General features: G+C 38.7%; 1 protein-coding gene across 27 annotated transcripts in view, besides 2 other annotated features; it reads right to left on the reverse strand.

Moving 5' to 3' along the window:
• EYA1 (EYA transcriptional coactivator and phosphatase 1) overlaps window positions 1–17,555 on the reverse strand; it is a 350,662-nt gene that overhangs the window by 62,505 nt on the left and 270,602 nt on the right. For all 27 annotated transcript variants that reach the window (XM_047421528.1, NM_001370336.1, XM_011517484.4 and 24 more), the window contains 2 exons: window positions 11,821–11,960; window positions 9,803–9,886 (listed from right to left, as the gene is read on the reverse strand). In XM_047421528.1, the coding sequence (XP_047277484.1) occupies window positions 9,803–9,886; window positions 11,821–11,960 (224 nt within the window). The remainder of the gene's footprint in view (window positions 1–9,802; window positions 9,887–11,820; window positions 11,961–17,555) is intronic.
• Window positions 4,289–4,348: an enhancer, noted in NCBI's record as "active region_27514". NCBI's record gives its function as "activates an Ori minimal core promoter by ATAC-STARR-seq in GM12878 lymphoblastoid cells {active_cell/tissue: GM12878}" and the evidence as "EXISTENCE:reporter gene assay evidence [ECO:0000049][PMID:35858748]".
• Window positions 4,539–4,668: an enhancer, noted in NCBI's record as "active region_27515". NCBI's record gives its function as "activates an Ori minimal core promoter by ATAC-STARR-seq in GM12878 lymphoblastoid cells {active_cell/tissue: GM12878}" and the evidence as "EXISTENCE:reporter gene assay evidence [ECO:0000049][PMID:35858748]".

Genomic DNA, 17,555 nt, shown 5'->3' on the forward strand with positions numbered 1-17,555 from the left:
CAAGTATTACATTAGATCTGATGTCATCTAAGAATAAGTCACTTTAGTTTTATTATAAGAACCACTAAAAATGGCATCAAATATTAATGAGGAAGCAGGTTCTCTTTATTGCTAGATACACCTGTAAAGCACCAAAAGAAAAATTGTTCCTATTTTTAATGTAGCTCTAGTTTTTATTTATGCACCCTTGCACATTTAGCTTTATTTTCTTTGGCCATGCTATTTTTCTAAATTGAAAACAAAAAATTTAACAGTAAAACAAAATAAGTAAACACATAATATAAATTGTCTAATTTAAATGCTTTAAGTCAACATTTAAGAACTATTTTAATGGCTAAGTCATTGTTCCAATTTTAAGTAGCTTCAGCATTCTGACTTGGTCTCTACAAAGTACTTATGGTGTTCTTACTAAAAATAAAAAGGAAAGGGAATTATTTTGCCTTTTAATTCTTATCCTATTATTTTCAATTTATAAGTACATTAAATACATAATGTATGTCTTTTGTATCTCTCCTCTCTGAATATGTACCTACTTATATCCATGAGATGATACTCTACACAAACTCCTAGCAATTGCTATTCTACTTTGAATCACAAAGAATATATTATCTTTAAAAAAGTGCTATTTAAATAATTAATCTTGAGACAGGAGTTATCAGAAGACAGTGCAACTATTTCAGAAAGCATGACTAGTTCCTCAGGATATGCTACCTACATTTTGAATTTCTGGAATAAAAGAAAATAAGGTTCCTAAACTCTCTCTGTACTAATCCTACATGGGCAGCTAAGCCTCCCTGGCAAGCAATTACTGGGAGTTGTGGTAGCCCAGTGAGGTGTGTTGCTAACAATGTGAGCAGGTTTATGAGATTTATTCGTCCATGTGAAAATCTTGTTAAGTATGCTCAAATCAAGGACAAATCTTTGGGCAGTATCAATCAAAAGAAAGAAAAATACTCATTCAGTGCACCTTAAACAATTCCTTACTTAGAATGCTAATATTACAGCCACAAACAGGACCTGAATGTCATTTAAAAATTCTCCCCATCCAAGATCTTTTGTTTTGGGGGAAAATAAGCTGAAAAACAGGAATGAGCACTCTGAATACATGAGTGGTTTATTTTTAAGACCCCATGCTGGCTGCCCACAAGGAAAGGATTAAGGTTAAGCTTTGAAAATTAGCTTCCTATCTTGAAAGGAAAAACTATGCTGAAACATTGTTTTTTTAAAAAATAAAAAATAAAAAACACATAAACACATAACCAAAAGTGTTATCCAAATGATCTGTACAACTTACGAGACCCAAAGGTTCCATTATTGTGTTTTCTCCTGTCTAAAGGGAGCAATATCATCAATAAAATATTAACTTTTTTCAAGGTTTAAGGCCCTATCACTGGGCTACTTAGATATGAAATATCAGATTTTGGGAGTTGGATGTGATTCTCTTGCCAATTAAGAAATAATACAGATTACCAAGAGAGACTGTATACACATAAAAAATAAACCATGGTTAAACTACTGCCTGAATGATCTGGAAAAACACCCCCAAAACCCTCAAACTTGTGGTGGGGCTAATCAGGTCATTTTTACTGATTAGATACGTGACACTCGATTGTGTTAATTTTCTCCTTACTTAAGAGACTCCCTTTCAACACCATGAAAATAATACTCAAGTAGAGAATAAGAGAAAGAACTTCAACATTCCAAAGACTAATTTTGACTGTGGAGAAAACCCAGTGAATCTCAAACATGGGCCAACTGCCAAGAAGTGGTACAAAGAGGGAGGAAGAAGAATAAAGCCAGCATGGACCTGGCCAAATTGGCTTCAACACCAAGGGGCCCATGGGGTGCTAAGGGAAAGGCTAAACAGCTAAATCCAGTCGAAAGACCTATCAGGATTTCATTTGTAATGACTCTCCTACCTCCCTCCTTCCTACAGAGTGTTCCAGCCACTTTTTAGGCCTTTATTATTTTCTACCAGAGGACTGCACAATAGTTTTCCTTGCTATTAAATCGGTCTTCCAAATGTACACTTCCAGCATGTCCCTCCATTGCCATCATGTTCTTCCATCATGTCCCTAATTCATGGCATTCCCATGCCCACAGAACGAAATCCTGGCACTCAATGCTCTCTCTAAGCCTGGGTCAATTACAAGACTGGTGTTGCCAGTTGATGGATCTGCCTTTTGGACAGATAATTTAATTTTTCTGAGCTACACTTTTCTTATTGGCAAAAAGAAGGAGTTCATTGGATAATAAGTGTGAGATAGCAGTGTAAACCATAAAAGTTGAACAAAGATGCAGTCTTTTTATTACTGATCCAACACATTTTCTGCTACTATTCTTCTTCAAGTCTAATCCCCTAAATATACTTTATCACTATTTACCCTTTTTGCTTATGATTTCTGCCACTTGTAATTCTCTGTTTCCCACTCCCTCTTTGCTGCCTGGAATAACAAAGTCTGCATGGTTTCCTGCTTCCTCCTCTGAACCCCCAAAGTAAGCAATAAATAATAGCTCTTGTTCATGAAGTACTTATGAGTATTTTTCTAGGTGGTTCACATTGTTCCCCTAACAGCCCTGTAATTGCTCCCATTTTATAGGCTGCTTTTTCCAAGGCCACAGAGCAAGGGAGGTCCAAAGTTGCAGGTGGCAGGCCAGTGCAGTGGTTAAGGAGCTGTGATGATTCCTGTTCATTCACTGCATTCCCTTTTATATTCATGAACAAGAACAGTAAGGCTGTGTTCCATTAAACAGCAAGAATGTACATTTCCGCTGTATACTACTGGTAGTGAGGCAGAGGGGCTGCCTGTTAAAGGAAAAGAGAGAAACCTTCAAGATATGGCCAGAAGAGAGATGAAGCATGCCTGTTTGGCTGGCATTTGAAAAAATGTGCTTCTGTTTGTTTTGAGAGTTTAGATTCTATGTCACTCTACAGCATAAAGAGGTTTCATATATAGACACATATATTATTTCATCCTTTTTATCTAATTTGGCATTGATATACAAGGAAGAAAATAAAATCAGGGCTCTGTCCTTTGGGATTAGATTGGCCATCATCACTCCAGAGCCACCACTCACATAGCCTGGGGCTTGGCTCTGTCAGTGTGGCTAGAGCTGCAAGGTGGGTTGAAAGTGTGCTTTGGGTTTCATTCGTTGGTCAAATAGTTGAGAACTGGGCTGTGAGTGCTACCTGTTCACTAAAACCCATTCTCTGTTTCTTCCTGGGCACACAGGAAGGCTGAATCGCCCAGCCTCCCCTGCACTGGGTCATTTGACTGAGGTCAATGGCACAGGCAGAGGTGTGTGCCTGTCTCAGCCTAGCTTACAAAGCCTCCCATTCACACTGCCCCTGCCTCCACCCCCTCCCCTGGGGATTGAATGCTAATGATCCCAGAAGCTTCAAAAGCTGCATGATGAAAATGGCACTACTATTATTTGTACCACCAAACCATGCCCAAACCAAGCAACCTGGAACATCCCCACTCTAGACAACTAAACAAGAGACAGATTTCTTTTGTTTGTGCCATTATATTTTAGATCTGTTTGTAACAGCCATTTCACCTACCCTAATGAATTCACGTGAGGGTCTGTGTTTCCTTGGGGCCCCAGGCGCATGTATGCACTGCCTGCATTGAGTTCACGGTCTAGTCACATTGTTGCTGTCATTGAATTGTCCCGGAAGGCAGGAGGAAAATGAACCAGTGCAAAGCTCAGAGCATCACCTACAGCAGAGGCAGGCAGACAGCCTTTCTCTCTAAAGGGACAGGGAGTATTTCTATCTTTGCAGGCCATATCATCTCTGACACACATTCTTCCTTGTGCTTTTATTTTTTTAAATTACACTTTAAAAACTTAAACAACATTCTTAAAGGCCTGACAGAAGCAGACCATAAACCAGATTTGACCTATGGGGTATGGTCTGTCAATCCTCGGTCTAGAGTTTTTAAAACCAAAAGAAAAATATTTCATAAGACATGAACATTATATAAAATTCAAATTTGGGAGCATTCAATCAAGTTTCATTGGAACACAGCCACATTTATTCATTGGTTGCTTTTGCACTACTAAGGCAGAACTGTGTAGTTATGGCAAGCATATGGCCCGCAAAGCCTGAAATATTTACTATCTGTTGCTTTACAGAAAATGTTTGCCAACCCTTGGACTGGAGGTTCCAAAAGGGAGATCATCCTGGTTAAGTAACCAGATCTCCTGCAACCCAGTGAGGACACTGGTGTCCTACTGCTCTGGTGCCATGCTAAGAGTTTAGCTTCTTCATCAACCACCATGGAAGAAAATCCTCCACCAAAAGAGCTTGGAGTTGTGTTGTCCCCTAAAGCAGAGTAGGAACAACAATCTCTACTGGCGAACTGAGCTGTTCTGATGAAATGGGCGATATAAACTGCTTTCAGTTTTTCTTTCCTCAAGGTACTGAATGATCACAGAAACACACCCACAAGGGAGGCTGTTTATCTAAACTCACTATGACAAGTGAGATCCTCTTAGAAGCCTAGTGAGTTATAAAACAAATACTCTAGAGAGCAACTACAAGTTCAATAGGTGACACATGCTTTCCTTTCTTACTATCGGTTGTTGCCATTAATAAGACTCTGTGCATGGACTTTTACATTCGTGAGCAATTCAATTTTTTTTTTTTTTTTGAGACAGGATCTTACTCTGTCACCCAGGCTGGAATGCAGTAGTGCAATCATAGTTCACTGCAGCCTTGACCTCCCAGGCTCAAGCGATCCTCCTACCTCAGCCCTCCCAAGCAGCTAGGACTACACGCATGTGCCACCACACCCAGCTAATTTTTGTATTTTTTTTTTGTAGCGATGGACTCTTGCCATGTTACCCAGGCTTGTCTTGAACTCCTGAGCTCAAGTGATCTACCCGCCTCAGCCTCCCAAAGTGCTGGGATTACACGCATAAACCACCATGCTGGGCCAAATTCATGATACAATTTAATTTTTAAAACAATTCCGCAAGTCACGTAGCTGGCTTTATGGATAAGAAAATTGAGGCTCAGTAAGAATAAATAATTTGCCTAAGGTCAAAGAGGTGAAAAGTCAGAGCTTGGATTTGAGTCTAGATCTACTTGAATTCAAATCCGATCCTCTTTCTATCACACTCTAAGGCATAGCGTATACTTGTAATTCATAAATTTGAGGACACTGCCACCATGTTACTCACTGGCCACTATGCAGGAATTCAAGTTTTTGTTTTTGTTTTGTTTTTTTTTGATAGTGAAGCTTCACCTACTTTCAAATATAACTGGTATTTGTTGAAATTTTTTTTTATGCTAGACATGGTGCTGAGTATTTATTACATTGGGTCTCTAACCTCTCCCGTTTCAATTTTCTCATCTATAAAATAGGCTTGATAACAGCACCTTTGGAGCATTAATGTTGAATTAAATGAATGCTGGGCATATAGAAAGTTCTTAATAGGGCCTATGATTAAACATACTAAGCTTTACACTATCTTAAGTGTTCATGTTTTGTTTTTTGTTGAAAATGAAAAATGAATATCCATATTTTTAAGATCCATTCTAGCCCAAATCACTGTGAGACACAGACATTAAACAATAAAAAGATAGTGTTGAAACAATCAAGGCGTTGAGTGTAGATATCTTGGGTAATCCTCCCACAGGAGGGGGACCATGCCTGAGACATCAGCACAATTTTGATTTGAAATACAAGTTTTGGGTGTGCACTTTGATAACAATAATTGAATTACATTGTTTATTATAAGGAGACCATTCAATGAAAAATAACCCAAGAATAGTTTTCTTCAATGACATTCTGGAATTTGTTATTAGTTTTAAAGCAACTTTTAAAAATGCATTAAACAAAAACAGCTAGGTCAGATACTATTTAAAACATCCTAGTTTACGTAGCACTCACAAGCTCTTCAATTTCCTAACATCTTACTTGTTTTCCTCAGCCATGGCTGACTGTGCCCAGCACCCTCTTTTGTCCCTATCACCTTTGTTATAAAACAAGACTTTCTTATAACACCCAACGTGCCTTCTTCCCACAGCTAGGATTACACGGAAGGTGGGACATTCTCAAACTTTTTTTTGGTACACATTGCTGTAACATGCCCTAATTTTGCATTGTATCAACCAGATCCTGTGTCCTCTTACTGAATGGCCTACTCATTGAGTTGCCTAAGCCACTGTGACTAAGCTACTTCTCAAGTATCTGGTTCCCTTAGAGACAGAACAGCGATCACATTGTCAGGCATTCATTCTTTATATACATGTAGAGTAAGGCTCAGCCACATGCTCCCCTTGACAATGCCCAGGAACACCACCAAATCTGTGCTCCTAAAAAGAAGTCTTGTCACTGAACTCCTTTAAGACTTTTCTCCTCAGTGCCCTGGGGGAAACAAAAGGACTGCAAGACACTCTGATCAGCTTGCTTATTATTATTGTTTGGAAGAATCCTTGTTGAATCACATTTTTACAAAGCTTGATGATCAGATTTGAGAGCCAATTCTTATCAACTGTAATGATTTCTAATGAGGAAATCATTAAGTAGACTTCCTTGCATGCTTCCAGCTACAATTCAACATCCTAAACCATGCATCTTCAAAAGTCACCTGGCCAGGAAAAGACACCTCCAGGCAATGAGACAACAGGCTGACCGCAAGTGTTCAGTACAAGGAAGGTGCTCAAAAAATGTTTAGGAAGAAATCAAGCTAAGAGACTCCAAGGAGCCTCTAACCCTAATCTGTGCAATGTTGACTGTGAATCTGCCATCTCCTGTACTGACTAGTCCCCCCAGTGCCCTGGGCTCACCTTCCAGTGGTTTCCTTGCCTGGTCCAAGCAGTTGTCTAATAAGCATCTGAAACTTGTCCAACACTGAACTCTCCCTTCCCTCCAAATTGAATTCTTTACTATTTCAACAAATATACGACTATTTTCTCAGTTGCCCAGGACAACACAGGAATCATCTTTCACTTCTCTGTCTTGTTTACTACCCACCACTCCAATCAATTCAAATCATTTCTAAATCCAGTTCTCTACCTGCAATGTAATCCAGAGTCCAAATAATTCTTTCCATCTCTACTGCTGGTGCCTCAGATCACTGCTACAACCTCCAATTTGGACCCCCATTTTTCTTCCACTACCATTCATTCTTCACACTTAGCTAAAGTAAAATGTAAATCAGATCTTCTCATCTCCTCCATTGTGGTCCCCCGATGACTTCCCATGGCACATGCAGTGAGATTAGCCCTGTTGACTGTGTGTGGCTGGGAGGCCCTTTGGAACCTGCCTTCATCCCTGACCACATCTCATTGACTCTCCATCTCCATCACTAAGCTTGGTCTCACTGGCCTCTGTCCATCAAACAGCAAAGCCTTTCTTGCCTCTGCACTTACTGTTTCTTCTGCTTACAACACCCTTTCTCCTGATGACCATACAGTAACTCCAGGCCTCAGACCCAAAGTCACATGCAGGAAGATCTTCCTCAGAAACCTGGCTTTCTGAAGTTCTTCCACAGCCCCATAAACTTATCAATGAAGGATACACTTATATTTAAGAAACTCAAATAGCCTGTACTTCAGAGAGTATATAAATTTGGCTTTTGGAAATTATATGAGATAAAACTTTTGTTTTTTTTGAGATGGAGTCTTGCTCTGTTGCCCAGGCTGGAGCACAGTGGCGCGATCTCTGCTCACTGCAAGCTCCGCCTCCCAGGTTCACGCCGTTCTCCTGCCTCAGCTTCCTGAGTAGCTGGGACTACAGGCACCTGCCACCACGCCTGGCTAATTTTTTGTATTTTTAGTAGAGACGGGGTTTCACTGTGTTAGCCAGGATGGTCTCGATCTCCTGACCTCGTGATCCACCCGCCTTGGCCTCCCAAAGTGCTGGGATTACAGGCATGAGCCACCGCGCCCGGCCGAGATAAAACTTTTTATCACATGACCTGGAATGAGAAAACTAAACTAAACAAACAAACAAATATATTACTACTTGAAGAAGCCTCAAAGTTCTAATGATTGACACATTAAAAAATTAAACTCATGGTATTTGTAATACATTATTTAGAGAATGGTTTAGACATGAATGAAAAATTGTATGAAGCCAGGCATTTCTAGGTTAAGTGTAAGTTCCATGTGTAAGCCAATAATTTATGGCCAAAGATTGAAAGTTCAGTAGGTCATGGGATGCCTAACTCCTTAACTCTAAGCTGGTCTCTTTCATTGGCTAATAGAATACTCTTAGATAACTCTCTTTTGCGTCAATTTGGCCCTTAGCGAGAGCTTATAGGAGACTTTCTGGGTGGTTTTCAAATGCTCATTTTCTAAGTGCCTACTCTTTTCAACACTCTTGTGTGAGTTACAGGCACCAGTGGTCTCCTTAGAAGACAGGTGTAGGGATTTTATAATGGATCAGTTAAGGAGATCTTCAAGGTTCTGCCTACTAACTACATGTTGATATTTCAGATATTAGTCTTTAGTTTTTAAGTAGTAGTTTTTCTAGAAATAGGAACAGTGATAGTATTGACAGAAGAAATAATACAAGAAAAAGCACAGCTAATGTTTCTTGAATTCCTACTATGTGCTAATCACGCAGTAGAGACCATTTGGCTGATTGATTCTATGGCCTTATATTTTATAATCTGCATTTTTGTTGTCTTCTTATAGAGAATTTGCCTAACAATAAGATGAGACATACTGTGTTTTACCGATATATTATCTCGGAACAGGAATTAAAATGGTGGGATATTATTGCTTCAGCCTATTTTTGATTAGGTGTACCTTTGAGATGATGAAAAGGAAATCTGGGCTGTGAAGCTAAATCCCCCAGACTGCATATCCATAGCAGATACTCAGTGTGTATTTGTTAAAATAAATATTTGTTGAAAGAACAACCACCCGGTCAAATTTGTAATAACAGTATGTGCATTTTAATGGTATTAATTCTAACACTTAATTATGATAAACTGCTGAAGTCACTGGGACATAATAAGAATTCAGTCTCTAATGCTCCAAATAACTTAAAAAAACCTAAGACTTATTATTTCTTTACAGATGAAAACAAGAGAAATGAAATATTAGCAGGATAACTTGAGAAATTACCTATAGCTACTTTAAATAACATTTTTGCCTGGGAAAGACTTATGAAATCATCAATATGCCAAAAAAGAAATTCCAAACTTTTGGGATACCCAAATGTACAACATGGAAACCAAAGTTTCACTCACAGAAGGTGGTCTATAATATTATTCTTTATCTATAATACCAATATAAGTACTGTACAACTCTAACATGGTCCCACTGCCTTTCAGAGGATCAATCTTACATACCATTCAAATACATTTAACCCAAGTAGCAAAGGGACATATAGAGACATTTGTAGCAGTTGTTTTGAAGATAAAATACCAAAGCTTCTAATCACTGAGAACAACAGAAAGTGAAATATTTGCTCCATTAAATGTTAGGGAATAAAAAGACAGGAAAAGTAAAAGAGAACACGAAACATCTTTCTATGTCACTTATGTATTTTAATATTTCATCCTAGGATAAAATTCAATCACTTTTATTCACTGGGGTCTGAATAAGCATGACTTTAATTGAACAAAGTGTATCTTATTGCCAAAGACCTAAAAATAATATCTTCTTTGGCTCTTTTACATATTTTTTACCTTACATATATATATTTGACTATATAGTTCTTCTCCATTTATATTTTAAATTTGTTAAAGTTAAATTACATTCATTTGGATAATAAACAAATTAGAGGTATATTTACTCCAAAGAAATTAAAAACTGATGCCTCTTGGTACTCACCCTCCCATATCTGTTGGCGTAGGACCCAGTAAGCAAGGAGTGGAAAACAATGATTGTCTCATCCAAGTCCCAGATGAACACTCTCTACAAAGGAAGAACCAAATCAATGTGTCTTTGCCTTGGCTGAGAAAGCTGTTATTCAGTTAACTTCAACACGAAAAAGTCATCTTGAAACGGAAGATGAATGAAAAATCTGAATTTATTATTTCAAAAAAAACACAACTGTTTCAAAGAGTATCTCCTAACTTTTCTCCAGATATAACTTTGGATGAGGTGCAAGAGGATAATTACATTTGTAATGTCAATATAAATATAGGAAAGAGATAATCTATGTCCTTTCTAATTCTGTAATAGAATTTCGGTCTCAGCTCTGAATAAATGAAAAAAATGAGTTATAGCTAGTCTGGTTATAACTTGAGATAGAGATGAGCAACTAATCATATATCATTTATCTTTTCCTTACCTCTGATCTCTGTTCATTGAGAAGCACTAAAATAATGAATCTTATGTTTTACTCTTAGGAAGCCAAGTATTAAAATTGCATCCAAAGACTAAAACCTTACATAATAAATTCACCTTATGTTACCTATTGAGCTGTTATCAAAGGGATGGGATACACATTGTTCTTGCCAGGTTTTTTAAGTCTTTAGGGTATAGATATTTAACAAAATAAGCATACACATCACTCATGCTCTTAGACATACTCTTGAAGTATTTAAAATGGGAACTGAAGGAATTCATTTCAAAAAGGTCTTTGGGATACCACAAAAAGCCTATCAAGCCTGTTTTACTTCTTCCTATTCCCACTCACACCAGTACATATTCATATACATAGATTCTGCTAAAAGTTTCATTTTTTCAGCCAAAATAATCATGTTTTCCAACCATCAGATTTCACTCTGGCAAAAAGCAGAAACTTAGTTGCAGTGGATTCAAGGCTATGAAATCTACCACTCTTTAAGTTCTTACTTAATCCTTCCTGCTTTTGAACTCCCCCAAAATATGTCTCATTAGATGATTACTATTTCAGTTTAGAACATTCCAGGTTTTCCTTTCTCAATATATATAAGTGTGTCTTTCATTTCAAAGTAGATTTTATGGCTGGGCGTGGTGGCTCGTGCCTGTAATCCAGCACTTTGGGAGGCCGAGGTGGGTGGACCATGAGGTCAGGAGATGGAGACCATCCTGGCCAACATGGTGAAATGACGTCTCTACTAAAAATACAAAAATTAGCCGGGCTTGGTGCCTGTAGTCCCAGCTACTCGGGAGGCTGGGGCAGAAGAATCGCTTGAACCGGGAGGCAGAGGTTGCAGTGAGCCGAGATCACGCCATTGCACTCTACGCTGGGTGACAAAGCAAGACTCCATCTTCAAAACAACAAAAAGTGGATTTTATTTATTTTTTGTATTTTTAATTTTTGTGGATACTAGGTGTATATAATTATGGGGTACATGAGATGTTTTGATATAGGCATGCAATGCGAAATAAGCACATCATGGAGAATGGGGTCTCTATCCCTTCAAGCATTTGTCCTTTGTGTTAAAAACAATCCAGGTACGCTCTTTTAGTTATTTGAAAATGTACAATTAAGTTATTATTGGCTATAGTCACCCTGTTGTGCTATCAAATAGTAGGTCTCACTCATTCTATTTTTTTTGTGCCTTTTAACAAGTGGATTTTACCAAGTATTTTTAGTATGACACTTAATTAAAATGGCAATGATACAGATCAGCATAACAGAATTTTGTTCAAGTAGAATTGCATAATTTACTATATTTCTTTAGAGAGAAACAGACCCTTTGCCATATAGTTCATAGGGAAGAAAAAACAAATTATTGCTTAACCTATAGTTAATAAAGGAGAGAAAATATTACTTTATCTATTGTTAATATAAAAAAGAAAGCAGTAACAAAAGCATCTGATACCTTAACCACTGCTGTTTACGTAGCAGGTATGTAAAACCACCAGTTAGCTATTAAGACACCTTTCTATTCACTTGGGTGTTGGCTATGACGTACCTCAAGATCAGAATCTGGGGGAGGTGAAGGATTATTGTTTCTTCGGCCCCGTCCACGTGATTTCCCATCTGAACCTCGACGCAATCGATCAGAATCTGAATCTTTAATGGGTGTTGATGGGCTGTGGATTGTGCTGTACTCTGCAGGAATATAGGAAGGACTTTCATCTTTTATTTCCATCACCATGGTGCCAAGATTAGCCTTGTTTTAATTCACAAGGGGAGTTTCAATAGTAAAGCACATTTCATTCTGCTGAAATCCTACATCGTCTTTTACTTGCGCTGGTAAATAATTTATAAGATATCTGATTACAAGATTTGTTTTGAAAGAAAGTGTGATGAGGAACAATTAAAATTTAATTGAAGGTGAGAGGCAACAGGTTGTACAAGGTTGCCTGCATCTTCCATGTGGTTCTCTGTGATTAGAGAACGCTCCCCATGCCTTTCCCCGCTTCTCTCATTCATTCCAGTCACAGCACCTGGCCATACTGAGAGGCTCACACATTTGCCTCAGCTGTGGCTCTCTCAGCTACAAAAAGGTTCTGGTGCATGCAAAGAGGTGAAAAGAAAAAACCAGCTCTCTGGGGCAGGGAAAACTGAGTCATCAGGTAGATTTTTCTTTGAAAATTTTACATTCCCCATTTTCTCCCTCATTTTATGTGAGAACAAGCGGGTGACAAGATAAAGAGGCAGATACATGGACAATACCCGTACTCCACACACTGTCCATCACCGGCTCTTCCTCGGTCCTAGTCCCTTTGAACCAAACATCCAAAACCAGGCAGCACATTAAAATTACTCATCTGGGTAACTCAGAGAAGCCACTAAAATAATTACATAGAAACCACAAAATAAAGAACAACCCCCAAAAGGCTCAAAGGAAGAGTCGGGCAGTGATTGTGGAGCGAGGGAAGATGCTTATCTTGTGTTCAGACTGAACAAAAAGCCATTTACTCACACCAATTTTGTACTTTTTAGTCTATCCAATACATACATCAGAATATCTCCTCTTCTCCCAAATTCCAGACGTCCAAAAAGCTGGCTCACCCCACAAACTCTTTTCCAGATTTCTGTACCAGATTTAGTTTGGAATCTCTCCATCTAAGATGAGGAATGATTATTTTCCCTACGATGTTGTTAAGGTTGGTCTATTTCACTAAACAGAAAACCACTGTTTGAAGAGAACAACTGAAGGCTTGGTAGCCTTTATTAACACACTATCAGCCTCAACTATACCAATAAGGCCATCCACGTGTCAAACTGCATGGTCTCAGAATTACCTCCACGCTTAAGTGCTTCTCCAAAGCCTTGAGTCAGAGTAGATAGGAAAGGCTTTGACAGAATAAATTTCTGTTTCTAAATCACAGGAGACAGCTCTATACCTCTTATTTAACCTTAAAACCTAAATAGATTCCTATTACTTATAGAAAACAAGCAAGAGACTTCTTCTATAACAAGATGGCAAACTTCCTCATCTAAACTGGTCATGTGATTCTCACACCCAGAAACCACCATCATGACCTGTAAGCTTATTAATGACAATAAGAAAGTCCAAATCAACTCCACCCCATGGGTTAGTTTATTTGGGATGCATTTTTAAGCTGACTCATCTCACAGAACCATTACAACATAATGCTGGCTTGTCAGTTAATCATTCTCTAAATCTACATTAATAGTCTTTTATTACAGAGGCAGATAACTAGGGCATCCTCTCCTTAAGATGTTCCAAACTGAGCATCTCTCTTCCATGTTTTAAAGAGAATCAGCAGCTCCAAATGAGTAGAATTTTAAGTAGTCAAGTGGATTCAAAGCTGTTCTTTGAGGAAAAAGTCTTGGCCTTCCTTTTTAAAAAATATTCTGCAATGTACGTCTCCATGCAGAACCAGATATTCACCATCTGAGACAAAACACACATCAATCTCTAATATGTTTCGATACCAAGCATTCATTTTACAACCAGTACAGTCACCATCTAATTCAACCTGCACTTCAAGTACTTTACTACAAAGTCTCTCTTGAATTGGGAGCTCTCTGGCTTTTGGAAGTAAGTATTTGAAGAGAAGCTAAAAGACATCGAGCAATGTAAGTTAGCATGTTACAACTTTTTCCTTGACTTACCGACAGTATAATTTTGTCGTAAAAGTCGTTTATCTTTCCTAGATTTTGTTAGCCTAGATTTCCTCCTATTGATGGCTCATTCCTTTATTTCCTAATGTTTATCCCCACTTTAAAAACTCAATCTTTTAAAATATATTCTGTCTTTATTATTATCACTTTTTTTGGAAACAGACTAGCTATAATGAAGTGAGTTACTTTTGTAAGCCTCTTTCCAAAAGAAAATAAATTCATTCTGCAAAGTAGAAAGTGAAAGTTTTAAATCATGTTATCTAAAGTTTTTCCAGGTAAAGGGAAAAAAACCCCTAAAAGATAGACAACCTGACACCTTTAAATATTAAAATACACCCACACCCGTACCTTGCAGGCCTCCACTTCTGGAGGAAGATGAAAATAAAAGTGATGCAAGCTAGTTATTTTTCAAAATCCCTTCCTTTTCTATGAGGTGGAATTAAATGCTTCTATTCTCTTAACCAGCTTTCCAGACTCTAACTTCTCCTTCCTCCTCCTAGTGCAAAACAACTCAAATATTCAAATCATTTAATCTTCTAATCCACTGACAGCTCATGTTTCACTAAAACCCTCTCCAAATTGTTCAAGTTTACCCCCACTGAGATACTGGATGTGAAAATACTTTGGAGGGCATTCATTGATTTTAACAAACTTGGAGTGGATGTCACGTTCACACCATGCAGGCACTGTACCAGGAGCATGAAATATAATGATGTAGCAAACAGACATGGTTCCTGCCTTCTCGGAGCTTACAATTCAGAGGAAGGCATTGACTTGTGGACAAAAATGAGAAATTACAAAGTAATGTGGAAAGGTCACAACACAGGAAAGGCAGAATGCTAGGAGAACACAGAGGAAGTCCACATAACTCAGATTTGCAGGCTTACAGAAGCTTCCTGAAGACAGAGGACAAATGCACCAGTGAAGAGGGAATATGACTGTGTTCCAGACAGGGGCATAAGTATGTGTGAAGGTAAAGTGGGAGAGAGAGAGAGAGTGAGCGAGCGAGAGAGAGAGAGTGAGCGAGCGAGAGAGAGAGAATGAGAGCGAGTGAACGAGAGCAAGCGAGTGAACAAGCGCAAGCGCGTGCGAGAGCGCATGTCACATTTAAGAAATGAAAATAAAAATCCAATCTGACCTGAGTCTACAGAAAAAGAACACAGAGATGAGGCTGGAGTGGCAGGTAAAGAATTCAACAACGGAGTGGGGGCTCACACTCCACGTGGCAGGGTGCTGGAGAGGAGACTGAGAATGGGAGACCGGCCAGGAGGATAATTCAGTGATCCAGGTGAGGGATGGTGATGCAGGTGCCGGGCATAAGGAGATCTGAAGTGTCATTAGGAGGTAAAATCAATAACTAAGTGGATAAGGAAGAAAGATGCAGTAAAAAATCATGCCCATGTCAGTGGTTTCACAACTGGGTGAAGATTGTAATACAAGGTACGGGACTTAGGAGGAAGAAGGCATTACAGGGAAGAGTATAGGTGAGAATTCAGTTCCGCTTTGGACATATTGAATTTGAAGGGGCTGTGGGCATCCAAGTAGAGATGTCCAGTAGGCTGCTAGACTACTCTGAAGCTCCATAAAGAAATATGGGCTGGGTTTAGGATTGGAAACTGACACCATATGTAATTAAGGAAATGAGTGTTGTTAAAGAAATGCAGTGTGTGTACAAGGGTTGGGCACAGAAAGACAGGTGAGGTTTGAAGAGGAAAACCAAAGTCAATGTATGGCAGATGAAAAAGTATGTCAGGAAGGAGAGAGTGATCAATAACTTCAGATCACCCAAGAAACAGGTAAAATAAAGACTGAATCTGAGTACTTTAGATTAGAGTCAAGAGGCATTTGGTCTACATGGCAATAATACAGATTCAAGGAGGCAGAAGAGTGAAACAACAGGGGGTAAAACTCCTAAACTGTTACTGATGACCCTCTAATGGCCAAATCCAATAATTATTGTCTTAGTCTTCAATATTATTTGACCCCTCTGCAGCTGTGCTGACCACTTGCTCCTTTAAATCATGTCCAATTCAGAATATCTTGACTTCCCTTACTTCTGCTTTACACTATCCCTTATCAGTCTCTTTGGAGAACTTCTGCTCTGACCAAAGTGTGAATATTGGTGTTCTCTACATCCCTGTTATTCAAAGTGCTGATCTGGGACAAGATACAGATTTTGCATCAGGATATGAATCAACACAATGTTTCCTTCATCTAAAAGTCTTGCTAATATTAAAAATATAGTCAGCTGAAGAAAACACTATGTAACGTCATTGATTACTTAGTAACATGGTCGATTACATTCTGAAGCAAATCCTTTGTTATCTTGCACTAATAATAAACAGTTAGTGGACAGGCAGCCAGTTGATGGACTATATTTTGAGCAGCAGTGCACTGGAGTTTCTTCCATGGCCCTCTTATCCCACTGTAGGCTCTTAGTGCTTGGTAATATTTGTAGGAGGAATTTAATTGATGCCCTCCAAGCTGATAAATTCTAAAGCTTTACCTTTTGATCTCCTGACCTGAGTATCCCACTATTTCTAGACCTCTCTACCCAAGTATTCCATGGACACCATAATTAAACTTGTACCAAAAGGAATCCTCCCTATCAACAAGTTGAATTAATGGTACCAGTAACTATCCACTTTTTCAATCCAGAAACTCCTTAGTGTCTCCATCAAATTAAGACTAAGTTCTGTGGTTTTTACTCCTAAAAACTTTTGCTCTAAGTTGAGGCTCTCATTATATCTTGCCTTAATTCTTGCAACAGGCTATTTCCAGGATCGATAGGCTCGTCTTCCACCTATTTTCTGCACTGCCATCACAGAGAGTGGTAAGACCCTTCTGCTTCAGCCTTATAGTGTGAAACAGGAACGACAGTCTAGATTTTAAGGCACTGAGCTATGTATTCAACTGCCACATTTTGACTCTTGACTGTACTACTTACTAGTAGTATTGCTTGCTCGTTATTTAGCCTTTACATGACTCAGTTTTTTCATTTGTAAAACGGGAATAAATGGGGTAAAATAAAACTAACATACATGTAAAGGTACTTGGAGCTGCACATGTCGTTAGCACTCTACGATGTTAGCTAACTGAAAAAAGTGTTGTCACCGAGTCATCCTTCAACAACCTTATCTCTAACTACCCTCTCTTCATAGTCTACTTCAGATAGACAAACTTAATTATCTCATTTCTCTGAAAGTGCCATGCTATTTCATGGCTTCACACATTTTTTTTTTTTTTTTTTTTTTTTTTTTTTTTTAGTTTTTAGAGACAGGACCTTTCTCTGTCACTGAGGATGAAGTGTAGTGGTACAACCATAGCTCACTGCAGCCTCAAATTCCTTGGTTCAAGGGACCTGCAATATATATCTCTCAAGCTCTCAAGCAGCTAGGACTACAGGCACATGACGTGACACCAGGCTAATTTTTTTAAAAAATCTTTTGTAGAGATGGGGGTCTTGCTATGTTGCCCAAGCTGGTCTTGAATTCCTGGCCTCAAAGAGTCCTCCTGCCTCAGCCTCCCAAAGCACTAGGATTACAGGCATGAGCCAATGCACCTGGCCCTTGTCTCCTTTTCTCAACTCCTTACCCTCTCCGCTGTCTG

Source organism: Homo sapiens, chromosome 8, assembly GCF_000001405.40.
Source record: "Homo sapiens chromosome 8, GRCh38.p14 Primary Assembly".
NCBI classification, from domain to species: Eukaryota; Metazoa; Chordata; class Mammalia; order Primates; family Hominidae; genus Homo; species Homo sapiens.